This window comes from Homo sapiens, chromosome 10 (assembly GCF_000001405.40).
Source record: "Homo sapiens chromosome 10, GRCh38.p14 Primary Assembly".
NCBI lineage: Eukaryota > Metazoa > Chordata > Mammalia > Primates > Hominidae > Homo > Homo sapiens.
In genome coordinates this window covers 101,701,402-101,729,117 of record NC_000010.11, presented here as the reverse complement: position 1 = coordinate 101,729,117, position 27,716 = coordinate 101,701,402, and the positions used below count along the sequence as shown (strand labels likewise).

Sequence of the window (27,716 nt, the reverse complement as noted above, 5' to 3'; positions counted from 1 at the left end):
CAATAATGACTCCTTCTGCAGGATTTGTCCAGCCTGTCTGAAAATAGAAGGCCTAATTTCTCCTTCTTGTCATTCTACATCTTTCTCTCTCTCTCTCTTTTTTTTTTTTTTGAGTTGGAGTTTCACTCTTATTGCCCAGGCTGGAGTGCAGTGGCACCATCTCGGCTCACCTCGACCTCTGCCTTCCGAGTTCAAGCAATTCTCCTGCCTTAGCCTCCCGAGTAGCTGGGATTACAGGCATGCGCCACCATGCCCTGCCAATTTTTGTATTTTTAGTAGAGATGAGGTTTCTCCATGTTGGTCAGGCTGGTCTCGAACTCCCGACCTCGGGTGATCCCCTGCCTCAGCCTCCTTTGTATATGTATGTAAATCTATGTATGCATATCCCAAAGTGCTGGGATTACAAGCATGAGCCACTGCACCCGGACTGTTAAAAAAAACTTCTGACTTTCGTTCTTGATTAAAGCACTCGATTATTTAGCATTTATTAAATATTCACTGTTTAACATTATTCACGCTAACCTGTATTAGGAGGGCTTCCATTTCTTATCTCATTTAATTCTCAGGTGAGTCCTGTGAGATGAGGTGAAAGGAGAGTCTTGAAAGATTAGGTGATGTATCCAAGGTCACATTGTCAGAGGGTGACAGGTAGTTTGTTCAGATCTGGTTTTCACCCCCTTAGAGAGCCCTGCCTTCCTGTCTAGAACCTTCCCTGCCTCCATTATTCTCTATTCCTCTGCCAAATTTTCTATTTCACCATAGCATTTACCGCTGTCTGAAGTCACCATTCTCTGTGTTTATGGAGGACAGAGGGTCTGTCTTACTGACTGCTGTATTCCCAGAACCTAGAACAGAATCCGGCAAAGAGTCATTGAAAGGATGCTTAAACTCACCTTTTTTTTTTTTTTTTTTTTTTTTTTTTGAGACAGTCTCACTCTGTCGCTCAGGCTGGAGTGCAGTGGTGCGATCTCGGCTCACTGCAACCTCTGCCTCCCAGGTTCAAGAGATTCTCCTACCTCAGCCTCCCGAGTAGCCAGAACTACAGGCGCCCACCCCCACGCCTGGCTAATTTTTTTTTGTACTTTTAGTAGAGATGGGGTTTCACCATGTTGGCCAGGCTGGTCTCGAACTCCTGACTTCAGGTGATACACCCTCTTCGGCCTCCCCAGGTGCTGGGATTACAGGCATGAGCCATCCACCGGCTAAGCTCACCTTTAAGGCATGTTTATATTCATTGTTTTAAATAATAGGTCACATTTGAATAACACTCTACAGTTTACAGAAACTGTGTTTCTGCTGGCTGTCACCTCCCTTGGTCATCCTCACAGAAGCCTTTGGGGCAGGCCCAGCACAGGTTACTCCTTCTTCAGGGTCTGCTCAGACTTGCTGGTTCTTCAGCCGGGGATGCCCCCAGTTCTTTGCCTGCATCACTCTCTGCCTCCTTCTATGTCCGTTCCTCAGGAAGGCTGGCCCTGGTCTTGCAGCCCAGGTCAGGAACCCTGCGACATACTCTCTTCTCCCTTTGTAAGTCTCTTTGTGGCCCTAATCACAATGGCAGTGAAATCATTATGCCAGTATTTTATGATAGGCTCCCTGACTAGCCAGTGCTCCACGGGGACAGGGCCTTGTCATGCCTGTATACCTCACACACCCCTCACTGTGCCTGACACAGAGTAGGTGCTCATTAGATGTGTGTGTATTTGTATATGTATGTATATCTATGTATGCATATAAAATGAATTATTTCCAACAAATAGACTAGGAGATCGAAGCTCTATGGTCTCAGCCAGGGGTCCCCAACCCCCTAGGCCATGGACTGGTACCAGTCCATGGCCTGTTAGGAACCTGGCTGCACAGCAGGAGGTGAACATCAGGCATAACTGCCTGAGGTGTACCTCCCATCAGATCAGTGGCGGCATTAGATTCTCGTAGGAATGCGATCCCCATTGTGAACTGTGCGTGTGACGGATCTAGGTTGCCCACTCCTTATGAGAATCTAACTAATGATCTGAGGTGGAACAGTTTAATCCCAAAACCGGCTCCTCCACCCCATCCAAGGAAAAACTGTCTTCCGTGAAACCTGTTCCTGGTGCCAAAAAGGTTGGGGACCACTGGGCTAAGCCACTGGCTTGAAAACTTTTTGTTAGTTACCTATAGTAGAACGTTTATTGTTCATTATGACCCCAGGAATCATACATACACACGTGTACTTCCCCTTACTGTGGACTAAGCCCTGGTATTTTCTATTCTACTCAATTTATTTTATTAAAACATTTTTTAGAGCCTGGCGCCATGGCTCACACCTGTAATCCCAGCACTCTGGGAGGCTGAGGAGGGCAGATCACCTAAGGTCAGGAGTTCGGACCAGCCTGGCCAACATGGTGAAACCCTGTCCCTACTAAAAATACAAAAATTAGCCGGGCTTGGTGGCAGGAATCTGTAATCCCAGCTTCCGGAAGGCTGAGGCAGGAGAATCGCTTGAACCCAGGAGGTGGAGGTTGCAGTGAGCCGAGATTGAGCCGCTGCACTCCAGCCTGGGCAACAGAGCAAGACTCCATCTCGAAAAAATTTTTTTTTTAGTTCCAATCTATTTCATTGATTTCATGACCCACTAACATCTATGGAAGCTTAGCCAATGTGACTTGTTCAAGGTCCCATAACTAGTAGAGTGGTGGAAGCCAGTATTCTCCTGCCTATTACATTCTGGTGGGTTTCTTGCCCTAAGGCAAAACTAAAAGTTTTGTGTCAGTTTTGATAACAAAGGAAAAAATTCATTCTTTTACTTCTCAGTCACAGTTCAGGCAAGGCTGGTCTCACCATCTGCAGGCATTTCAATTAGGTTCATCGAGGTACTTCAGCTTTCTGCAATGTAGCTATCCAGAAGGTTCCTCCTAGAAGCTCCAAAGGGAAAGCTTTAGTCCTAATGGGTGGCACACCCAGACTTGCTGGAATTCTCATCCGAATTACACAAAACATTAACATATGGACAAAGGCACACTGCATATTAAATGATTTACTGGGGTCAAAGATCAAGTCAATGGCAGGCTTAACGTTAACCTGCCGCACGCAGATCCTCAGAGTCTGCTGGGCTAAGACACAGGGAAGCCTTGGCTAGGCTGGGCCCAGCAGCCCGGACCTGGTCAGTCATCAGCAAGTTAATCTACAACGGCACCTTCTTTTCCTACCAGAGGGAGGTTTGACTTGAACTTTTGGAAGACCTGCCTATTTGGAATCCAGATTCCTCTGCTTCAGAGGCTAATTTAGCTGGTGTTGGATGCAGAAGCCTAGAGAAAGCCGAAACTTATTTGTTCTTTTATTCCTGGATTTATAATTTGACCTAATATACTGTACGTCTGTACATATGTTGATCTCAGAAAATGTTTGAGCTTGCCTGCTGCTCAGGCCACGTTGGCAGACAGCTGTTAAAGCCATCAGCAATGTTTGCTTCCAGTTACAAAAGAAAACATTCTCTATTTGGGGCTATGTTGTTGTTTTCTTCTTTCCTGATTTAAAAGGGGAAGTATGTTTCCCAGTAGAGATGTGGGGCTGCCCCCATCCCCTTCTAGGGTTAAGAATGACTAAGAAAACTTTTCAGCACACCTGGCTCATCATCTTTCTAATATTCATACTCTTTTTCTCTCCCTGTGGAAGTATCCTCAGGGGCTTTGGTTTGAAATTATTTGAGCAACTGAGCAGGTTTCTCTCCTTTCCCTGGGGACACCAGTTTATGGTTCAACATCTCCCTCAAACACTGGTGTGTTTTTAGCTAAGAAAGACTCAGGTTTTGTCCCATTATCAGGTGCACTGACAAAATAACTGCTGATGGGAGTAAGAAAACACGAGTAATTCTAACTCCTGCCCAGAACCTTTGAAGGAATGCACAAACTCTGACCTTGCTTTGGTGCTTTGGAGAGACCATCTGGGGAAAACTTCATTTCCAAAAACATATATGAATTTGAGAGTTCCTCTGGCTGAGATGGAGGAAAAGCCATATGGTAAATGGCGGGGTGGGGGAGGGTCACATATGCAAATATTTGTTTCAGAGAAAACAACTCAAATCAGAGTTGTCCATGATACGTCCACCCTTGAATGCCTGACCTGTGCACTGGGGAGGAGGAGGGAAGGAGTAGAGATAAAGGGGAATGAAGAACAGAGAAGCCAGACAATGGCCGGGAAACAGGCCACAAAGGCAGGACACTTGCTGTAGGCTGGAGGTACTGTTGGAAATGTCAGACCGAAGTTCAGGAACCAGCTGGAAGCAAAAGAGGCAGGAAGGTTTGAAAATGAGGAATGGAAGTCTCTGAGGAAAATTTGGCTGCCTAAATGAAAGAGGCTTGGAGAAAAAAAAATGTCAACAAATAGTACCTCAGAGGAATCCAGTGACTATTAGGACCGCTCAAAAATCCATTTTGACTCAAAATTGAAGATGAGATCTGGGCTACTACATGGAAAGGTCTCAACAACCCCAGGATTTCTGGTTAAAGGGCACAGTCAAGTTGAAACTGCAAATCACCAAGCTAAGGTGTTCACTTGAACCACATGACGCCAAGAAATAAGGCTTATAAATGTTATCTTTTTTTTTTTAAATTTCAAATCCCAGCCAGGCACAGTGGCTCACACCTCTAATTCCACTTTGGGAGGCCAAAACAGGAGGAATCCCTTGAGCTCAGGTGTTCAAGACCAGCCTGGGCAACATAACAAGACCCCATCTCTATAAAAAAAAAAAAAAATTTTTCCCAATGAGCCAGGCATGGTGGCATGCACCTGTAGTCCTAGCTACTTGTGAGGCTGAGGTGAGGATTGTTTGAGCTCAGGAGGTGGGGCCTGCATTGAGCTATGATCATGCCACTGCACTCCATCCTGGGTGACAGAGCAAGACCCTGTCTCAAAATAATAATAATAATAAATAAAATAAAATTCAAATCCCAATTGTTCATTGCTGGTATTTAGTATATGACAGAAACTGGCTTTTGTATATTGATCTTGTAACATGGACTCTCTCTCCATTTATTTAGATCTCTGATTTTCTTCACCAGTGTTATGTAGTTTTTCTCATATAGATCCTGTATTTATTTTGTTAGATTTGGGCCTAAGTGGTTTTTGTTTTGTTTTGATTTTTGTTGGTGCTATTGTAAATGGTATTTTTTTTACATTTCAAATTCCAATTGTTCCTTGCTGGTCTTTAGGAAAGCATAAAAAACAAGGCTTTTTTCTTCTTAACTGCCATTCTGAGTTTGTACCCAAAACTACTCCTAGTGAGGGAAAGCTGGGGCAGGATGGGTCAGTAATCACAGCTGTCCCCTTCCCATCTTTCCCTCCCCTTCACTCTGTAAATGTTTGTTTATTTCATTTGACTGAATTGATGTTATGCTAAAGAACAGCCAGGGAGGAGAGGTACTGTTAAGAAACAGGGGAAAATTCTAAGTCCAAGGTTAAGATCACTGGAGAAGAGATGTTTGAACTCTTAGTGTTTGAGACAGAATGGAGGGTGTGGGAAAATTAATAGCAATAGCACAGTGAGAGAGAGAGGGTGTTTCACCAAATGAGGTGGGCACGCTGGGCGAGGTGGCTCATGCCTGTCATCCTAGCACTTCAGGAGGCTGAAATGGGCAGATGGCTTGAGCCTAGGAGTTTGAAACCAGCCTGGGCAACATGGTGACACCTCACCTCTACAAAAAAATACAAAATTAGCTGGGTGTGGTGGTGCGTAACTGTGGTCCCAGTTACTCAGGAGGCTGAGGTGAGAGGATTGCTGAAGTCCAGGAGGCAGATGTTGCAGTGAGCTGAGATTGCACCACTGCACTCCAACCTGGGTGACAAACCCTGTCTCAAAAAAAAAGATGGGGAAATAGACACCTGGTAAATATGATACCTAGGGTTACATGTAACAATCTACAAAAACAGTATATGAATTGAGTTCAAACTCCCATTTTTGGCCCAGAATAATTAGAGTATAAATAAGGTTTTTGTTTTTTATTTTTATTTTTTTAAATAGAGATGGGGGTCTCACTATGTTGCCCAGGCTTGTCCCAAACTCCTGAGCTCAAGCAATCCTCCTGCCTTGGCCTCCCAAAGTGCTAGGATTATAGGCAAGAGCATGGCCTAAGTCATTGCTGTTACTGTTTATGCCAATGCTTGTTTCAGAAAAACAAGAAGATTGCAAATGTGATAGTCTCTGTGCAACTTGGAGTTTGCTGTTGATATGAGGCTTATTGGTTGTGAGAAAGTAGGACTTTCTGTGGGATGAGAAAAAAATGAGAAGATTCACCCTTTTACTCAAGTGCCTGGCAAGTTACCTAGGAAGTAGTGTTCAATAAATGCATATTGAACGAATCTGGAAGTAACTAGGCAACTTTGATCTTAGCATCCAAGTGTGTGATGGTGGGGACAGAGTTGAGTTTAAGCAACTGTTATCAACAGAATCTACAGTAACAGCTAAGTCAGGATTCATTTGGCTTCCAAGAGTTGTTTGTTTGTTTGTTTTTAAGACACTTTTGGCCTGGCATGGTGGCTCAGCCTGTAATCCCAGCACTTCTTTGGTGGGGCAAGGCAGGAGGATTGCTTGAGCCCAGGGGTTCAAGACTAGCCTGGGCAACATAGCAAGATCTCATCACTAAAAAAATAAAAAATTAGCTGGGTATGATGGCACATGCCTGTAGTCCCAGCTACTCAGGAAGCTAAGGTGGGAGGATTGCTTTAGCCTAGGAGGTTGAGATTACAGAGAGCTGTGATCATGCCACTGTACTTCAGCTTGGGTGACAGAGCGAGACCCTGCCTCAAAACAAAAACAAAAACAAAAAATGAAACACACACACAAAGTAAAGAAAAGAAAATAATTTTTTTTTAGAGATAGGGTCTCGCCATATTGCCCAGGCTGGCCTTCAACTCCTGGCCTCATGCATTCCTCCCACATTGGCCTCCCAAAAAAGTGCTGGGATTGCAGCCTGAACCACCATGCCAGGCTGGCTTCTAATAGTTTTTAATGAGACAAAGGGTAGAGCTATACTCTGTACAAAAAGGGTGTTGCTTACTCAGTGACCAAGGAAGCTGAGAGACATGGTTCTGCCTTGGATTGCAGGTGAACTATCTGTGGATTCACACCTTCCCTAAGTCTGAAGAATGTCTGCTGAGCTGTCAGGATGAAATGTGTAGCTGGGAGGTATGCGGGTGTGCTAGAGAACCGAGTAGTGATAGGATGTCCCTCAGAATCTCTTCTAATCAGAATCACCTGTGATTCTTTTGGATTGTGTACAGCTGTACTCCAAGATGCCCTTGAGCTGTGGTGAGAGTTGTGCCCTTTGCTGGAGGGAGTCTAGTTCATGGTGACCACAGGGGGACACCTCCTGGCATGCCAGAGCCACGGCTTGGAGGAGAAGTCCCTGAGCCTTAAGGGGTAGGGACAGAAGGTCACCAAAGAGATAATAAGTGTAGCAGGGGAACCATTTCTAAAAGATCTGCTCTGAGTCACAATTAATTAAGGTGTAGGGGAAAGGGTACCTTCTTACCAAATGCCCAGGTGTCATTCTGGGCCCCAAGAAAATAATTTACACAAGTTTCTCACCTGGAGCGTTTCCCCCAAGAACTGGCATATTGTTTTTGTTCCTTTCATGCCTCCAAAAACACTGAAGAGGTTTCTTTAGGTGGTTACTATACCCAAGAACACCGGCATTTTCTTCTTAGGCAAGGACCTCAAATTCAACCATAATACTACTTTAGAGACTAACAAATGTTCATGAACAGTTAAATACAGAAGGAGGTTTTATGATGTGAGGCCATGAGCATGAACTTTGCAAGCAGTAGATCTGAGTTCAGTTTCCAGTTTTCCTGTACATTAGCCTTGTGTCCTTGGACAAATCACTTGACCTTTCTTAGTCTTCGAGAAATAGGGATGATGAGAATAATAATATCCTTTCTGTTAACTTTACAGGCTACTGTTGTAAGCTAGGAGGTGCTGTGCATTCATTTTAATTATTGTTGGGACAAACTGATATCAGGGCTCTCTGAAAACTGCCTCAGGAGAGAGTCCACTTAGAAGGACTGATGCAAGCCTTATGGACCTACTGACACAGGCAGGTCATGAAGCACAGGGAAAGTGAAAAGGGTCAGCATAAATACTTAGGGCCCGCACAGTGGCTCACGCCAGTAATCCCAGCAATTTGGGAGGCCGAGGCAGGCAGATCACTTGAGGTCAGGAGTCTGAGACTAGCCTGGCCAACATGGTGAAACCCTGTCTCTACTAAAAATACAAAAACAAGCCAGGTGTGGTGGTGTGCTTCTGTAATCTCAGCTACTTGGGAGCCTGAGGCAGGAGAATCCCTTGAATCTGGGAGGCAGATTGCAGTGAGCTGAGATCACACCACTGCACTCAAGCCTGAGCAATAGAGTGAGACTCCGTCTCAAAAATAAATAAATACATAAATACTTAGCATTTCCTATGTGGGAAACATTCTTGATACGGAGGTGGAAAAGTGGGGTTGGGGGAAGAAATAGTAGATAGTAGATAGTTAGCCGGGAGCGGTGGCTCACGCCTGTAATCCTACCACTTTGGGAGGCTGAGGCGGGCGGATCACGAGGTCAGGAGTTCGAGACCAGCCTGGCCAACATAGTGAAACCCCGTCTCTACTAAAAATACAAAAAATTAGCCGGTCATGGTGGCGCGTGCCTGTCATCCCAGGCACTTGGGAGGCTGAGGCAGGGAATCGTTTGAATCCGGGAGTTGGAGGTTGTAGTCAGCCAAGATCTGCCATTGCACTCCAGCCCGCGTGACAGTGCGAGAATCCGTCTTTAAAAAAAAAAATAGATAGTAGAAAGTTTGGCTCCTTGACAGGTCACTTGGAGAAGAAAAATACACTGTAAAAAAGTATAACCAATACTAGGTAGTACTGACCAATGCCAAATCAACGGAATAGCCAGGGAGTGCTTAGGACTGGTGTGGGAAGGCTTTCAAGAGGGATAAAACATATCTGCTTTGATGGATGGGCAGGATTCAGATAAAAGAAGACTTTTCCAGAAAGAGAACAGTTTGGAGCAAAGTTCAGAGGCCAAACAAGACCTTTGTGTTACCTATCAAACACTCAGTATATATCTGACATTGTGCTAGCTTCTTTTACATTCTGTTGTCCAGTTTAACATATACATAATAGTACAACAAATTAGGCTTTGTTATCCCTATTTTACAAATGAAGAAACCGAAGCTCAGCAAGATTCAGTATTTTCCCCAGGGTCCTAATAAAGCAATGGCAGACCCAGGGTTCAAATCCACATAGTCTAACTCCAAGTCCAAAGATTTTTCCAGAATATATGCTGCTTGTTTGGCAAAAAGGAAATAGGTCAGTTTGGATGGAATGGAAGGCTTCATGCTGGGGCAGTCAGGATGCAGAGAGGTCAGGGGAAACCAGAATACTGAGTGCTAGGCAAGACGGTTTGGATTGACCAGGAAGCCCTTGGGTGGCTCAAGCTTTCTGAGTAATAGAAGGACATAACTGAAGTTTGTTCAGGATTCCCAGGTCTAAGGCTTTGTCAGGGCATAAGCTATACCAATTAATAATTAGTTCTGGGCCGGGCATGGTGGCTCACACCTGAAATCCCAGCACTCTGGGAGGCAGAGGTGGAGGCTGGTGGATCATTTGAGGTCAGGAGTTTGAGACCAGCCTTGCCAAAATGGCAAAACCCCGTCTTCACTAAAGATACAAAAATTAGCGGGGTGTGGTGGCGCACTCCTGTAGTCCCAGTGCATGCCTGTAGTCCCAGCTACTTGGGAGGCTGAGGCGGGAGAATCACTTGAACCCGGGAGACAGAGGTTGCATTGAGCCGAGATCGCACCACTATACTCCAGCCCGGGTGACAGAGGGAGACTCCGTCTCAAAAAAAAAAAAATATTAGTTCCAAAAGGAGAAAGCTACTACCCTGTCATTTATTCTGGGATGTTTCCTCCTATTGAACTTATTTTTCAGTTTATTTTCTCAATTGTGTTATTCTTGGGTACTCTTAAATACTTCTGCAACTTCCAGCACAGAGATAGCATCATATTTCAGTAGTGGACAAAGTAAGAAGGATTTAGATTGGTCCTGGATCCAGTAGTGAACTGCAGAGATGAAAGTACTCACACACAGACTATTTTAGCACCCCAAGTACCACTGAATCTAGCCTTCCATTAAGAGGCTCCTACATTCTTTTCCTAAGCTGAAGGTTTCAATGTAGGTCAATGGTGAAAGACAAATTGTTGGAGGACTAACAGACAATGCTCACTCTTTACATTGTGTGTGGGAATTTCTCAGCTGATTCAATAGATGTTTGCTTGGGTGTTAAGCATGTAACAGCAGTAGCAATTCCTTCTGTCCTCCCATCCCTCTTTTAAACTTCATTTTAAAATGGACATTGATTTCAAAACTTTAAAAAAGTTTATGTGCGATGACGCAGCAATATCACTGTTAGGAATTTATAAGCAAATGTAAAGCAAAGTCTAAAATGTGAATATGCAGCACTCTTATAATGCCAAACATTTGGAAACACCTAAGTTTCTAATAATAGGGAATTGGTTGAGTAAGTTATGGTACATCTTATCCAGTGGAATGCTGCACAGCCAATAAAATGACATTGTTGAAGAACATTTTTTTTTTGTTTTGAGACAGAATTTCGCTATTTTTGCCCAGGTTGGAGTGCAATGGCGCCATCTCAGCTCACTGCAACCTCTGCCTCCCCGGTTCAAGCGATTCTCCTGCCTCAGCCTCTTGAGTAGCTGGGATTACAGGCGTGCACCACCATGGCCGGCTAATTTTTGTATTTTTAGTAGAGATGAGGTTTCTCCATGTTGGTCAGGCTGGTCTCAAACTCCTGACCTCAGGTGATCCCCCGCCTCAGCTTCCCAAAGTGCTGGGATCACAGGCTAAAGCCACCGCGCCCAGCCCTGAAGAACACTTAATGATGCAGAAAAATGTTAACATTACGTTAGTCACAGTTTAGGCCATTGTTTGTTTATTTATTTATTTATTTATTTATTTTGAGACAGGGTCTTGCTCTGTTACCCAGGCTGGAGTGCAGCGGCACAATCTCAGCTCACTGCAACCTCCGCCTCCCGGGTTTGAGTGATTCTCCCTCCTCAGCATCCCGTGTAGCTGGGATTACAAGCATGCGCCACCATGACCTGGCTAATTTTTGTATTTTTAGTAGACACTAAGTTTCACCATATTGGCCAGGCTGGTCTCGAACTCCTGACCTCAGGTGATCCACCAGCCTTGGCCTCCCCAAGTGCTGGGATTACAGGCGTGAGCCACTGTGCCCAGCCTCATTGTTTAATTTTTAAAAGTATATAACCACTTCACATACATTATTATAAAAACAAAACATGTGGGCAGGGGGCTCACACCTGTAATCCCAGCACTTTGGAAGGCCAAGGCAGGAGGAGAACTTGAGCTCAGGAGTTTGAGACTAGCCTGGGCAACAAAGTGAGACCTCATCTCTACAAAAAACACAAACATTAGCCAGGTGTGGTGGTGTGTGCCAGTGGTCCCAGCTACATGGGAGGCTGAGGCAGGAGGATCACTTGAGCCCAGGAGGCCGATGCTACAGTGAGACATATATTGCACCACTGCACTCCAGCCTTGGCAATAGAGCGATACCTTGTCTCAAAAACAAAAAACAAAAAAACACAGGGCTTGGTTTGTGACTCACATCTGTAATCCTAGCACTTTGGGAGGCTGAGGCCGGTGAGACCAGCTTGGGCAACATGGCAAAAACACATCTCTACAAAAAATTCAAAAAATTAGCCAGGTGTGGTGGTGTGCACCTGTAGTCCCAGCTACAGGAGGCTGTGGTGGGAGGATCGTTTGAGCCCAGGAAGTTGAGGCTGCAGTGAGCCGTGATCATGCCACTGCACTCCAGCCTGGGTGAGTGAGACCCTGTCTCAAAACAAAACAGGAAAACAGCGTGTTGGCATGGATACGGAGAAATAGAAACCCTTGTATAATGCTGGTGGAAATGTAAAATGGTGCCTCTGCTGTGGAAAACCGTATGGTGGTTTCTCAGAAAATTAAACATATAATTACCATATGATTCAGCAATTCCACTTCCGAGTATGTACACAAAAGAACTGAAAGCAGGGACTCAAACAGCTGTTTGTACGCCAATATTCATAGCAGCATACTTCACAGTAGGCAAAAGGTGGAAAAACCTGAATGTCCATTAACAGATGAATGGATAAACAAAATGTGCTAAATACATACAATGGGGTATTGTTTAGCCTTTAAAGGGATTGATCAGATACATGCTACAACATGGATGAACCTTGAAGACATTATGCTAAGTAAAATAAGCCAAACACAAAAAGACAAACATTGTATGATTTCACTTAAATGAGGTGTCTAAAATAGTCAAATACATAGATACAGAAAGTAGAACAGTGGTTACCAGGGATTGGGGGGTGTGGGGTGGAATAGGGAGTCATTGTTTACTGTGTATAGAACTTCTATCCGGGAGGATGAAAAAGTCCTGGAGATAGATATTAGTGATGGTCATACTAACAATGTGGATGTATTTAATGCTACTGAGCTGTATACTTACAAATGGTGAGAAGGGTAAATTTTATGTTATGTATATTTTACCACAATAAAAAAAATTAATTTTTGTTGTTGTTGAGACAGGGTCTCCCAGGCTGGAGTGCAGTGGCACAATCATGGCCCACTGCAGCCTTGACCTCCTGGGCTCAAGTGATCCTCCCATCTCAGTCACTCGAATATCTGGGACTACAGGTGCATGCCACCACACCCAGCTAATTTTTGTATTTTCTATAAAGACGGGGTTTAGCTATGTTGCCCAGGCTGGTCTTGAACTCCTGGTCTCCACTGGGTCTGGCTTCCTAAAGTGTTGGGATTACAGGCATGAGCCACCACGCCATTCCTTAATTTTTATAGTACATTTTAAATTTAATGTAGTACACTGAAGACTATAAAACATTAATGAAAGAAATTGAAGAAGGTGGCTGGGCACAGTGGCTCATGCCTGTAATCCCAGCACATTGGGAGGCCGAGGAGGGCGGATCACTTGAGGTCAGGAGTTCAAGACCATCCTGCCCAACATGGCGAAACCCTGTCTCTACTAAAAATACAAAAATCAGCCAGGCATGGTGATGTGCACCTGTAATCCCAGCTGCTCGGGAGGGGAGAATTGCTTGAGCCCAGGAGGCAGAGGTTGCAGTGAGCCGAGATCGCACCACTGCACTCCAGCCTGGACGACAGAGCAAGACTCTGTCTCAAAAAAAAGAAATTGAAGAAGACACGAGTAAATGGAAAGATATCCTGTGTTCACAGATTAGAAGAATTAATGTTGTTAAAATGTCCATTTTGGGGCCAGGTGTGGTGGCTCACGCCTGTAATCACAGCACTTTTGGAGGCCGAGGCGGGCAGATCACGAAGTCAGGAGTTCGAGACCAGCCTGGCCAGCGTGGAGAAACCCTGTCTCTACTAAAAATACAAAAAGTTAGTTGGGCATGGTGGCACGTGCCTGTAGTCCCAGCTACTCAGGAGCCTGAGGCAGGAAAATTGCTTAAACCTGGCAGGCAGAGGTTGCAGTGAGCCGAGATTGCGCCACTGCACTCCATCCTGGCAACAGAGCAAGACTCCATCTCAAAAAAAAAAAGTCCATACTACCCAAGTGATCTACAGATTCAATGTAATCCCTATCAATATTCCAATGACATTTTTTACAGAAATAGAACAATCCCGAAATTCATATGGAACCACAAAAGACCCTGAATAACTAAAGCAATCTTGAGCAAAAAGAACAAAGCTGGAGGCACCACCCTACCAGATTTCAAAATCTACTGAAAAGCTATAGTAATCAGCTGGGTGGGGTGGCTCACATCTGGAATCCCAACAATTTGGGAGGCTGAAGCAGAAGGATTGCTTGAGGCCAGGAGTTCGAGACCAGCCTGGGCAACATAGGGAGACCTTGTCTCTACCAAAATAAATAAGATAAGATAAGATAAGATAAGATAAAATAAAATAAAATAAAATAAAATAAAATAAAATAAAATAAAATAAAATAAAAATTAGCCAGGCATGGTGTCACATGCCTGTGGACCCAGCTACTTGGGAAGCTGAAATGGGAGGATCACTTATGCCTGGGAGGTTGAGGCTACAGTGAGCCATGATTTCGCCACTGCACTCCAGCCTGATCAAAAGAGTGAGACCCTGTTTTAAAACAAAACAAAACAAAACAAACAAACAAAACAGACACAGACACATAGACCAATGGAACAGAATAGAGAGCCCAGAAAGAATTCTATACATTTACGGTGAATTGATTTTTATTTATTTATTTACTTACTTATTTTTATACAGATGAGGTCTCGCTATGTTGTCCAGGCTAGTCCCGAACTCCTGGGCTCAAGTGTTCCTGCCTTGGCCTCCCAAAGTGTTGGGATTACAGGCACGGGCCACTGCACCCGGTTCAGTTGATTTTTGACAAAAATGCTAAGAACCACACAATTGGGAAAGGGCAGTCTTTTCAAATAAATGGTGGTGGGAAAACTGAATATCCATATGCAGAAGGATGTAATTAGACCCTCATCTCACACCCTATACAAAAATTAACTCAAAATGGATAGAAGACTTAAACATAAGACTGGAAACTGTAAAACTACTAGAAAAAAATGGGAAAAGCTCTGTGACATGGGTCCGAGCAGTGATTTTTTTGGATATGACCCCAAAAGCACGGGCAACGAAAGCAAAAATGGACAAATTGGATTACATGAGACTAAAAAGCTTCTGCACAGCAAAGAAAACAATCACCAGAGTGATGAAAGACTGTATTTGCAAGCCACACTTCTGATAAAGGGTTAATATCCAAAACATATAAGGAATTTGGCCAGGTGTAGTGGCTCATGGCTGTAATCCCAGCACTTTGAGAGGCCAAGGTAGAAAGATTGCTTGAGCCCAGGAGTTTGAGGCTATAGTAAGCCATGATCATGCCACTGCATTCCAGCCTGGGCAACCCTGTCTCTAAAAAAAAAATTAAACAATTTAAACAAATAAATAAAATATAAAGGAATTCAAATAACTCAATAGTAAGAAAACAAATAACTTGATTCAAAAATGGGAAAATAAGCCCCAATAGACATTTCTCAACAGAAGACATACAAATGGCCAACAGGTATATGAAAAAATGTTCAACATCACTAATCATCAGGGAAATGCAAATTGAAACCACAATGAGATACCACCTCACACCAGTCAGAATGGCCATTATAAGAAAATGAAAGATAATTGTTGGTGAGGATGTAGAAAAGGGAATCTTTGTACACTGTTGGTGGGAATGTAAATTAGTACAACCATTATGGAAAACAGTATGGAGGCTCCTCCTCAGAATTAAAATTGGAACTACCAGCCGGGTGCAGTAGTTGTAATCCCAGTACTTTGGGAGGCCAAGGCAGGAGGATCACCTGAGGTCGGGAGTTCGAGACCAGCCTGATCAACGTGGAGAAACCCTGTCTGTACTAAAAATACAAAAATTAGCCCGGTGTGATAACACTCATCTGTAATCCCAGCTACTCGGGAGGCTGAGGCAGGAGAATCGCTTGAACCCGGGAGGCAGAGGTTGCGGTGAGCCAAGATCACACCATTGCACTCCAGCCTGGGCAAGAAGAGCAAAAACTCTGTCTCAAAAAAAAAAAAAAATTTGAAACTACCATATATCTAGCAACCCCACTACTGGGTATACATCCAAGGATATAAAATCAGCATGTTGAAGAGATATCTGCACCCCCTTCCCGCCCCTGCCCTGTTCACTGAAGCACTATTCACAATAGCCAAGATATGGAATCAACCAAAGTGTCCATCAAAGGATAAATGGATAAAGAAAACGTGGCATATATACACAATGGAATACTATTCAGCCTTAAAAAAGAAGGAAATCCCATCATTTACAGCAACATGGATGAACCTGGATGGCACTATGTTAAGTGAAATAAGCCAGGCACAGAAAGACAAATAACACATGGTCTTACCTATATGTGGAGTCTCCATGAACTCTGAAACAGAGAGTAAAATGGTAGCTTCCAGAGGCAGGGGTTGGGGTGATTGGGGAGATGTTGGTCAAAGGACACAAAATTTCAGTTTGACAGGAGAAATAAGTTCAAGAAATCTATCATACATCATGGTGATTATAGTTAATAACAATATATTGTATACTTGAAAATTACTGGCAGGTGGCTGTAGTCCCAGCTCCTCAGGAGGTTGTGCCACCCACCAAAAAATGGTAAGTATGTAAGGTGATAACACCTGTTAAGTAGCTTGATTTAGCCCTTCTGCAATGAATACAGCAATTAAGACATGTTGTACACCATAAATATTATAATTTTTACTTGCCAAATAAATAAAGTATATATACAAAAGACTATATGGGAGGCTGGATAGTAGTTTTTTTTTCTTTTTACTTATCTTCTGTGTGTTGGTTTTTAAAATCTTTTAAAAATTGTGTTTTGGCAGGGCACGGTGGCTCACGCCTGTAATCCCAGCACTTTGGGAGGCCACGGTAGGCAGACTGCTTGAGCTCAGGAGTTTGAGACCAGTCTGGGCAATATGGTGAAATCTTGTCTCTACAAAAAATAAAAAATTAGCCAGGTGTGGTGGTGTGTGCCTGTAATCCCAGCTACTCAAGAGGCTGAGTTTGGAGTTTCACCTGGGCCCAGGGATGTCGAGGCTGCAAGTGAGCCATGATTGCACCACTGCGCTCCAGCCTTACAGAGCGAGACCCTGTCTCAAAAAAAAAAAAAAAAAGTATGTTTTAATTACATTACATGAGAATTACATAAATACATTTGCCTTATAAAAAAATAAAACATTACTGATAAAATTAAAGTCCTCTTAAATACTTCCCTCAATCCTGTATATCCCTGCATATATATATATCTGAACCCACGAAAATTATATGATTCATTTGTACATATCATTTTAGTAATATTATTTTCAACTTTTTGTTTCTCTCAACGCTATTTATTTTTTCTCTCTTTCTTTTTTTTTTTTTTTTTTTTTTTTGAGACAGGGTCTCACTGTGTCACCTAGGCTGGAGTGCAGTGGTGTGATCTTGGCTCAGTGTAACCTCCACTTCAGGGCTCAAGTGATCCTTCTGACTCAGCCTCCCTAGTAGCTGGGACTACAGGTGCATGCCACCATGCCAGGCTAATTTTTGTATTTTTTTTATAGAGACAGGGTTTCACCATGTTGGCCAGGCTGGTCTCAAACTCCTGGGCTCAAGCAATCTGCCCACCCAGGCCTCCCAAAGTGCTGAGGTTACAGGCATGAGCCACCGTGCCCGGCCTCAACGCTATTTCTTAGACATGTTTTCATGTCATTATTTTCCACTTTTGTGTTCTCTCTTTTTTTTTTTTTTTTTTTTTGAGACAGAGTCTCGCTCTGTTGCGCAGCCTGGAGTGCAATGGCATGATCTCATCTCACTACAACCTCCGCCTCCCAGGTTCAAGTGATTCTCCTGCCTCAGCCTCCTGAGTAGCTGCGATTACAGGCGGCTGCCACCACGCCCAGCTGATTTTTGTATTCTTAGTAGAGACGAGGTTTCACCATGTTGGCCAGGTTAGTCTCGAACTCCTGACCTCAGGTGATCCGCCCGCCTCAGCCTCCCAAAGTGCTGGGATTATAGGCATGAGCCACTGCACCCAGCTTTTGTGCTCTCTTTTTAATTATTATATTCTTTTAAATTATTACATGTTATTCCATAGATAAATACATTGTCGTTTATTTAGCCAGTTTCCTGCTGATGGGCATTTAGGCTGTTTGCGTTTTATGCTATTATAAATAATGCTGCATGGACACCATTTGTATTTTTTACATTGATCTGAATAAAGTGTGTTACATTTATAGAGAGAAAAAATATTTGTAAATATTTAAAAATATTTGTTTTAATTTGAACTGGAACAAAGGCCATGACTTTAGGTTTAATTCAGCGTGTGTCCCCATCTTTCAAGTGGCCAAGGTTGTCCAAGACACACATAATGCCTTTACACTGTTTATGTGTTAGAACTAAGTGATAACACTTGCCTTCCATCTATTATTTTTTCCCTCACAGAATTCAGAGCAGTATAAATCTGTCAGCTCCCCAACTTTCAGGATCCATAGGAGAACTGAAAAGACCAACCACTGCTACAGATAAGGGATTGAATCTCATTCCTTCTAAAACCTCAAGTCATAGAAACTGAGACCTGGAGAGAGATTTTTCAACCCACAGAGGGACAGGAGGTGATAAAATAGATATCTCAACCCCCATGGCAGATCAGAATTCGTAGCTAGAATTGATATAATTTGATCCCTTGGATACGCAATCACATTCGTTCCTGTCATCACTTGATCTTCAACTCTTACCCTTACACTTGGGATGCTGGAGACAATTAATGAGGAAATCAGCAAATTCCCAGCTACTTCTACTTGGTGCCATGTCATCCTTAACCAAAGGTGCAACTGAGTGTAAAATAAATAAAGTTCTTGTATTTGGTAAAATTAGTTACAACACAAAGGCTCTCTGGTAAAAAAAAAAAAAAAAAAAAACAGAGAAAAAGAAAAAAGGGAAAGAAAACACTCCCCTCCCTTCAGCCTCCCCTCAAGCCTCTAATCTCATCTGTGAAAAAGAACTGTACTTTACTGTCCACAAAACAGTCTATTTTCAAAGTGAGAGGAGAATGGCCCTGTGAGGAAAGCCATCAGTAACTGCAGTTCCCAAATTCCTGCTTGTTTATAGAAAGTAGTGGCGGAGGATAGACACTTTGAAACCACCTGTGAAAGAATTAAAGACCAAGGGGGGCAAACCCCCATCACAAACAGAATCTCACTGATCAAGTGTGAAAGAAAAGGAAGAAAGAAAAAGCCAAGTAGATCTTTGCAGGCAACCACTAGATGGACATAGAATTCAAAAACATTCTTTAGCGAGATCAAGGATGGCAGGCTTTGAAGCCTGGAGAGCTGGCGAGTCTCAGAACGGCCTGGCCGTGGCAAGCCCCGCACCGAAGCGCCCGCAGTCTTGCACTTGCTGGAGTAAAGCATTTAAATTGGAACAATGTCAAATTTCACAGCTATCTTATGTCTAGTGACCTTACGGGACCCCAAGGGGAAGACAGATAAAAAATGATTGTTCTCGACAAGTTCCTGAAAGCAAAGAAGTCAAATAGGCAACCTCTTGAAATGAAATCGCCCACAAACTGTTGCATGCAGGGTGGCCAGCAAACAGGGCTTATTTATTTATTCATCTATTTATTCATTTTACCAAGGACTCATAGCGTGTCCCTTTCTTCATAGAACACACACAAAGATAAAGTCCCATCATCACAGTATATTAATTTAGAAAGAAGGTTATTGTGGGCAAAGAGGAGGTAACAACTATTCTGAATTATTCAATCGATTTGAAACAGGTTTTACTGTTGTTTCAAGAAAGCGAGACATAACTAGTGTCTGACACACAAAAAAACTATACATTACGTGAAAGAACAGTTTATGAGGACAAAGACGAGATCTCAAACTTCTGCTGTGTTTTTTAGACAAGAATTTCAATGACACTTCACATCCCCTAACTATGCCTAAGTGAGTCATCTTAGCTTAATGGCTTTTTTTCTTTTTTAAAAAAATAAACATTACAGAGGTAGCTAAAATTCCCTTTTACTACTACCCTAAATCTCATTTGCCTGCTTCCTTTCCAGAGGCAGCCACTACCATGAGTTTGAGGTGCATAATTCTGTTCTATTTTTTGTACTTCTACGTATATATATATATATATATATATATATATATATATATATATATATACACACATATACATATCCTTAAAGAATTACAATATTGTTTTGTGTTAAATATTTTTGTATATATTGCTCTGAATGTATTTTGCTTATGTCGCTCAACTTGATGTTTTTGCCACCTATCCACATATATGTTTTGTTCCTCTTTTGGACTTAATGTTTTAAAGGAAGAAACCAAGGAGGAAGAGGTTTATTCACACAAGAACAGCTATCTGTACCTATGTTTCCGCCTGTCTCTGATTGGAGACTGAAGTCAGGAGGACTTCTTGGAAGAAGCAAGGAACTGAATTTGGTTTTTGAAAGAGACTGAGAAAATGCTGAGTGTGAATGTTGTGGGGGCATTTCAGAGATACCCCTTACAATAATTCCATAGACTAGGAATTGTGAGATTTGTTGTATGATCTTTCTTTCATTATTTAGTTATAGATTCTATGGCTTTTTAAATATTTAGGTTAGACAAATGTTTTGACTGTGGAAGATACATTTAAAAAGGGATGCTAAACAAATCAAGATTTACTAAAACTGAACAACAGAAATCCTGTAAAACACTATCATTTAAGCCCAACAGGTGGACACACAAACCAATTACAAATCAAAGAGGCTTTGATCCATGGAGTCTTTGGTGTATGCCGAATAAAATACATTCAAAATGTATTTGTAGTGTGAGATAAAGATATAAAGGTCACTTTGTAAGTGCTGCCTATGTTAGTAGTTTTAATTTTACCTTGTCAGTGCCTCTGTGTACAAAACTGAAGAAAGCAAGACTTTGATTTGTTCAGGTTTCCTTAAGGAGGGACACAGAATCCTTGAAGCATGATTTGAAAAAGATGGATAAGATATTCTACCCAAAATTCAACATCACCTTTAATCTTGCCCTCTCCTCCTCTAATCCCTAGGTAATGTTTTGTGCTTCTTTTGCAGAAAAGCAATTTTGTTAATCACTTTAGCACCAATTCTTGCATCCCTGGCAATACTCAGAACTGCTTCCATCCAAGTCTTTGATGTGGGAAAGAAACACACACACACTCTTTCGCATGTAATCTGAAAACAATTCACCTCTTGCCAATGAATGCACAGCACTCCACTTTAATAGAGAGCAAGTTCTGTGGAGGTTTCTAATCCTTTCTGCCAAAGAAGAGAAGAGAGAGAATCACTCAGGTAGCCCAACCTCATTCAGGAGTTAAAATCACTTGGAATGTTTTGTGGTGTGTTTGGGGGTTTTTAGAAATATCACTTGCTGAAGATTACTGCTCTCAGGGGAAATCAAAACAACTCAAGATCAAAAAAAATAAATAAAAAATAAAAATATAAAAAGATTTCCCAACTTAAACAGGATATTCTTCTCAACTTAGATAACTTAATCTAAGTGTATTACAATAAACCTACTTTAATCCCTCAAAGCAATGGTGTTATAGATAAGCGGTAACTGAGGTGGCTTAAATTCCAGAAATGTACAAAAGATTTGGTTAGAAACAAAACTAAAAAAGAAAAAAGCTCAATCAGCATTGCTGTGACTTAAAGAGGTAAATTTAGGGCAGTAAAAATGCAAAGAATGACCGTTATTAAAGAAATACTCATAAAAGTCCAGAATTATCTCAATGCTCTCATTGGCTTTTTATAGTGTCTGTATGTGTGTGTATGTGTTTTGGGTGTGCATGTGTTTGCGTGTGTGTCAGGGTTCTATGAAATTGAAATTTTTTTTACTGATATGTACATATGATAGGGTTCATTTGAAAATTTATTTATTCATTATACTGTGATGTTACAACATGCTGAAGCTTTATTCCATAATTTTTTGTTCTTTTTATAATTTTTGGTTGAGTTATAGTATTTTCTTCCTGTTTAGTCCATTTCCTAACATATCATTGCTTACTTAAATGCAATGAATGAATTTTGTTCTGTTTCCTTCTGTCAATAATTATCCTATTTTCACAATCTGGGTATTAATTTTGATCTACCTTCAGATATCCCAGTTAACACATTGCAAATCCCCACTCTCCCTTCTGCACTGTAGCTCTCTATTGCAAAATAAGGGCAATTTCTTTCATTATGGACTCTTCCATTTACCCAAAACATGCTCTAAAAATGCCCTTTCACTTTTTGGAGAGTCCCCTTAGAGATGAAACGCTTTTCAATAGGTAATACATGCAAATAGTTAATAAACATTTAAAAGGCATAAAATAGTATACAATTGACAAGAAATTCTGTCTCCCATCCACCCAAATTCCCCTCCTTACAGGCAAACACTGGTACTAGGTTTTTGTGTATCTTTATGGAGATATTTGGTGTACATGAGTCAAAGCACACAAATACAGTTTTCCCCTCCACAAATGGCAATATATTATACACACTGTTCTGAATTTTGTTTTTTTCTTCACTTACTGTATATTAGAGATCCTTCTCTAGTGATACATACAGTCTTTCTCATTTTTTTCACAGCTGCTTATTATTCTGTTCTACGGATATTCCATGATTTATTTAAACAGTTTGGGAGACATTTGTTCCCAACACTTCTATTCTCTGTCAGTGTCTTGTTCCTTCTCAGGTTGTTTCTATGACTCTATCTTGGATACTGTTGAATATGTGATTTTATTTATAACATGGAAGACTACTGAAAAATAATTTAAATTTTATTTTCTAAATGTTTTAAAACTTCAAAAAATTGCCAAGAGTGATGTGGGTTTATAGTTTTTAAAAACCAGCATTGTGAAAGCTGTATGATACCAAGACTTTTTTTTTATTTTTATTTTTTGAGACAGGATCTCACTCTGTCACCCACGCTGGAGGGCAATGACACCATCTCTGCTCACTGTAACTTCTGCCTCTCAGGCTCAGACAATCCTCCTACCTTAGCCTCCCAAGTAGCTGGGACTACAGGCTTGGGCCACCATGCCCAGCTAATGTTTGAATTTTTTTTTTTTTTGAGACAGAGTCTCGCTCTGTCACCTGGCTGGAGTGCAGTGGCCCGATCTCGGCTCACTGCAATCCACTTCCTGGGTTCAAGCGATTTTCCTGCCTCAGCCTCCCGAGTAGCTGGGACTACAGGCGTGCACCACCATGCCCAGCTGATTTTTGTATTTTTAGTAGAGACTGGGTTTCACCATGTTGGTCAGGATGGTCTTGATCTCTTGACCTCGTGATCTACCTGCCTCGGCCTCCCAAAATGCTGGGATTACAGGTGTGAGCTACCGTGCCCGGCCTAATTTTTGTATTTTTAGTAGAGATGGGGTTTTGCCATGTTGCCCGGGCTAGTCTTGAACTCCTGGGCTCAAGTGATCCACCCGCCTTGGCCTCTCAAAGGGCTGGGATTATAGATGTGAGCCACCATGTGGAGCCCAAGACTTTCAATTACTTCTTCTCAGTCTCCTCATAGATCCCACTTAGATTGGGTCATGACATAACTGCTTAAACACTTAAAATTCTGTTGTTCATTTATTTCTTATGTGGGCTAACATAAGACACACATAGCATCAATAACTTTCTTCTAATAGCTGATATTAACTTTAATTCTCTTACCCCTGCAAAATATCATTAAATATTATTACTTTACACATCTTTAATTAAACTCCAACATGCTATCTCATACGTGACTAAAGACTCAAATCAGAAAAATTGCAACATCTGGTTGACCTCAATTCTTTTACAGGAGTTAAGCAAGCTATTGGGTCTGACCATTGTGGTTCCTCTCCTATTGTTGTATGGTCCAAGAGATGGAGGTTTCTTTTGTTTGTTTGTTTGTTTGTTTTTTGAGATTTAGTCTCGTTCCATTGCCCAGGCTGGAGTACAGTGGTGTGATGTAGACTCACTGCAACCTCCGCCTTCCGGGTTTAAGCAATTCTCCTGTCTCAGCCTTCCAAGTAGCTGGGACTACAGGAGCCTGCCACCATGCCCAGCTAATTTTTGATTTTTGTTTATTTTTGAGATGGAGTCTTACTCTGTCGCCCAGGCTAGAGTGCAGTGGCGTGATCTCAGCTCACTGCAGACTCCGCCTCCCTGGTTCAAGCGATTCTCCTGCCTCAGTCTCCCAAGTAGCTGGGATTACAGGCGCTCACCACCGCACCTGGCTAATTTTTGTATCTTTTAGTAGAGATGGGGTTTCACCATCTTGGCCAGGCTGGTCTCGAACTCCTGACCTCATGATCCACCCACCTCGACCTCCTAAAGTGCTGGGATTACAGGCATAAGCTACCGCACCCGGCCTAATTTTTGTATTTTTAGTAGAGATGGGGTTTCACCTTGCTGGTCAGGCTGGTCTTGAACCCCTGACCTCAGGTGATCCACCCGCCTTGGCCTCCCAAAGTGCTGGGGTTACAGGTGTGAGTCACCGAGCCCGGCCAGAGATGGAGATCTTGAGAGATTATAAAGGTGCTGGGTTGTGCCACATATCTGCTGAGCTTGGTGCAGTGTAGGGAATGCATGAGCACCTGGTCAAAAATTCCTCTCTACTCATTAGTTGCTGCATAGCATTTACAGACCCACACCCTTGCCAAGAGATAATTTGAGCTCTTAGCTCTGTCTTGCCAGGGCTGATATCGATGTAATTATTGTTTGATTCTACTATAAGACTGAATTCAGTTTCAGCTTTTTAATTTGTCCATTTCACTTCTCATTTATCAGCTTCTATTGCAGATGTGAAGTTTAGCATTTCTTTGCTCACTCTTTTACTGGGAAACTCTTCTAGCGGAAAGCCTGTCATCTGTTGTGAAGGAGAGCTGGTGTTGACTTGAAGCAACAGAGTTGGTGGTCCAGTGGCCATTGTCCTGTGTTAGGAGCAGGTGGTCTCGCTAAGCTCCATGTGTTTGGAAATTTCTCTGACCAGTGCTTGTTCTGCTAAAGGAAGAAGAGCTCAAGCTGCACTCCTTGTTTCCAGGTCAATCTACTGAACCTGGGAAAATCCCCAGGGGCTAGCTTGAACTTCTTCCTGCTTTTCTCTTCATGGTGGATTTTAAACATAGGGGATTTTCCTCATTCATCTATTTGTATTTCAAACAGCTGCTATAAGAAAGGGGAAAAGGCACATTTTATAGTACATATTTTTAGAAGCAGTGACATAGTTTCTCAAAGGATAACAGTTAAATTTTGGTCCAAAGACTATAATTGCTCTTTACTTGGTGGGTGGGTGTGTGTGTATTTTATATATATATATATACATATGTGTGTGTGTGTTGTTTTTGAGTATGTGTGTATACATTTTTTACTAAAGTAAAAAACAAAAAAATTAAGATCTATTCTTATTCCATTCACATTAAAACTTGTGTTTATATTTAACAACTTAACACAATCCACCATCTGTTGAAGATACTGTATGAATGATACTCCAGAAAAGTTGTCCTGTGTGTTTTTCACATTTTTTTCCACATTTTTAACAGGACTTGAAACCTAGGACAATATAAATAAATGATATCCTGTGGTTTCATTCAGTGTAATAAATGTCTCAAATGAAAAAAATTTACTTAAACTTTGGCATTGTTAAATAGTAGTAATAACAATAGAATCAGAAATAAGAATTTTGTATTTAACCTGGCACTTTCTTCCAGAAAAACTAAAGATGCTTGGGAGCAAATTTTTTCTAGAACTTAATTCTCATTATTTTCTTGGAAAAGAACTCATAAGGTCATATTTGTACATATTCTATCTTAGTGGTGACTGATTATTTACTTATACTTTTAAAAAGAACCTAGAATCTGAAGGCAAGGTAAGAAATCCCCAGTGATCATGAAAATTTCACAAGGTTTTGTGGTTCCCTTCATCTTCAAGTTTTTTTTTATCTTCTATCATCTGTTACCAAATGACTCAGTCTTCTGACTGGCAGAGACCAGAAAAATCACAAAACCTTTTTTTTTTTTTTTTTTTTTGGAGAAGGTCTGTCTCCCAGGCTGGAGTGCAGTGGCATGATCTCAACTCACTGCAACCTCCACCTCCCAAGGGTCAAGCGATTCTCCTGCCTCAGCCTCCTGAGTAGCTGGAATTACAGGCGCCTATCACCATGCCCAGATAATTTTTATATTTTTAGTAGAGACGGGGTTTCACCATGTTGGCCAGGCTGGTCTCAAACTCCTGACCTCAAGTGATCTGCCTGCCTTGGCCTCCCAAAGTGCTTGGATTACAGGTGTGAGTCACCACGCCCGGCTTAGAAAAATCACAAAATCTGATGTCACATGGCAATGGCAATACAAGAATTTAATCTTAGATCTGAATGCTGATGGTATGCTCTATATTTTATTCAAAATCTCTTGGAATGTACACTGTTGACACAAAGAAGGCCATTGCCTACTAATAACAGCATTACTAACTGGCAAAACCCCTGGAGATCTGTTTTTTTTCCCCCCAGAAAAATTACATTGTATATTTCTATCCTGCCCACCTGCCCACCTCCTTACTTACTCTACTGTTCATTATAGACATATGGTCCTTAACTTTTGTAGACATAGCTATACATTTACATACCATATATTTAAATGCATACACATATATAATTTATATAAAAATTAGTGATGGGAAATGTCTGTTTTTCTCAGTTATAAAATTAGGACAGTGTCTTGGAATGATGTTATGTGACCCTTTGGAAAACATCTTACAGCTGTTGTCCAGGCTGGAGCATAGTGGCGGGATCATAGCTCATGTAACCTCCAACTCCTGGGCTCCAGTAATCCTCCAGCCTCAGCCTCCTGAGTAGCTGGGATTACAGGTGCCCACTACCACACCTGGCTAATTTTTGTATTTTTTGTAGAGATGGGGTTTCACCATGTTGGCCAGGGTGGTTTTGAACTCCTGACCTCAAGTGATATGCCCTCCTCAGCCCCACAACGTGCTGGGATTACAGGTATGAGCCACCACGCCCATTCTAAGATGAAACTTTAAAAAACTTTTTTAGAACAGTTTTAGATTTACAGAAATATTGTGAAGATAGTAGAGCGTTTCCATAGACCCCTATTATCACATTTTACAATATTATGATTGTTATTATTAACAAACCGATCCAATTTCCTTAGTTTTTATCTAATGTCCTTTTTCTTTTCTGTTCCAGGATCCCATCCAGAATACATTACCTTTAGTCATCATGTCTCCTGTGGCTCTTCTTGGCTGTGACAGTTTCTCAGCTTTCCCAGTTTTAATGAACTTGCCATTTTCATCAGATTGTACCAAGACCTACTATCAATATGACTTATGACTAGTGGTGCTGACCTTGATCACCTGGCTGAGGTAGTTCTTGTCAGGCTTCTCCACTGTCGAGTTGCTCTCCCCATCCCCCTTTTCCATATTGTACTCTTTGAAAGAAAGTCACTATATGCAGCCCTTCCTTAAAAATATTAAAATGAACTAGCTTAATTAAGTTCTTTCTTACATTTAGGTGTAAATACCTCTGAGGTTTTTTTCTTTTAAAAAATGATTATCTATGTAATACATACTCACTGCACAAGACTTTAAAAATGCAAGAAAAGTATAAAGCAGCAGCAAATAGAACTACCCATAATTCCATCTGTCACAAGCAACCATTTCTAGCTTTTTGTCATATTTCCTTCCAGTTTTTTTTCTTCTGCATAAAATAACTATTTTTATTTCTATTTATTTATTTTTTTGAGACAGAGTTTCACTCTGTCACCAGGCTGGAGTGCCGTGGCACAATCTCGGTTCTCTACAACCTCCACCTCCCAGGTTCAAGGGATTCTCCTGCCTCAGCCTCCTGAGTAGCTGGGACTACAGGCGTGCACCACCATGCCCAGCTAATTTTTGTATTTTTAGTAGAGACGGGGTTTCACCATGTTGGCCAGGATGGTCTTGATCTCTTGACCTTGTGATCCACCCGCCTCGGCCTCCCAAAGTGCTGGGATTACAGGCATGAGCCATCGCGCCTGGCCAAAATAACTATTTTTAAATAGCACTTGCTTGAAATTATTTCATAGGTGGTAAAAATATTTTA

The 27,716-nt window shown here is 41.8% G+C and overlaps 1 long non-coding RNA gene across 11 annotated transcripts in view, besides 1 other annotated feature; it reads left to right on the top strand.

Annotated features, from left to right (window-relative positions):
* LINC03046 (long intergenic non-protein coding RNA 3046) overlaps positions 1–27,141 on the top strand; it is a 28,166-nt gene extending 1,025 nt beyond the window's left edge. For 2 of the 11 annotated variants that reach the window (NR_186550.1, NR_186548.1), the window contains exons 2-4: positions 20,717–20,953; positions 24,413–24,665; positions 26,823–27,141. This is a non-coding gene — a long non-coding RNA (long intergenic non-protein coding RNA 3046). Of the gene's footprint in view, positions 1–16,201; positions 16,252–20,716; positions 20,954–24,412; positions 24,666–26,822 lie in introns of all 11 variants that reach the window. The other 9 variants (NR_186551.1, NR_186553.1, NR_186549.1 and 6 more) reach the window with 5 other exon arrangements.
* Positions 5,153–5,872: an enhancer, noted in NCBI's record as "H3K4me1 hESC enhancer chr10:103483003-103483722 (GRCh37/hg19 assembly coordinates)". NCBI's record gives its function as "activates a minimal SCP1, AML or CMV promoter by ChIP-STARR-seq in naive H9 embryonic stem cells {active_cell/tissue: H9 hESC(naive)}" and the evidence as "EXISTENCE:reporter gene assay evidence [ECO:0000049][PMID:30033119]".
* Positions 27,142–27,716: the final 575 nt, after the last annotated feature.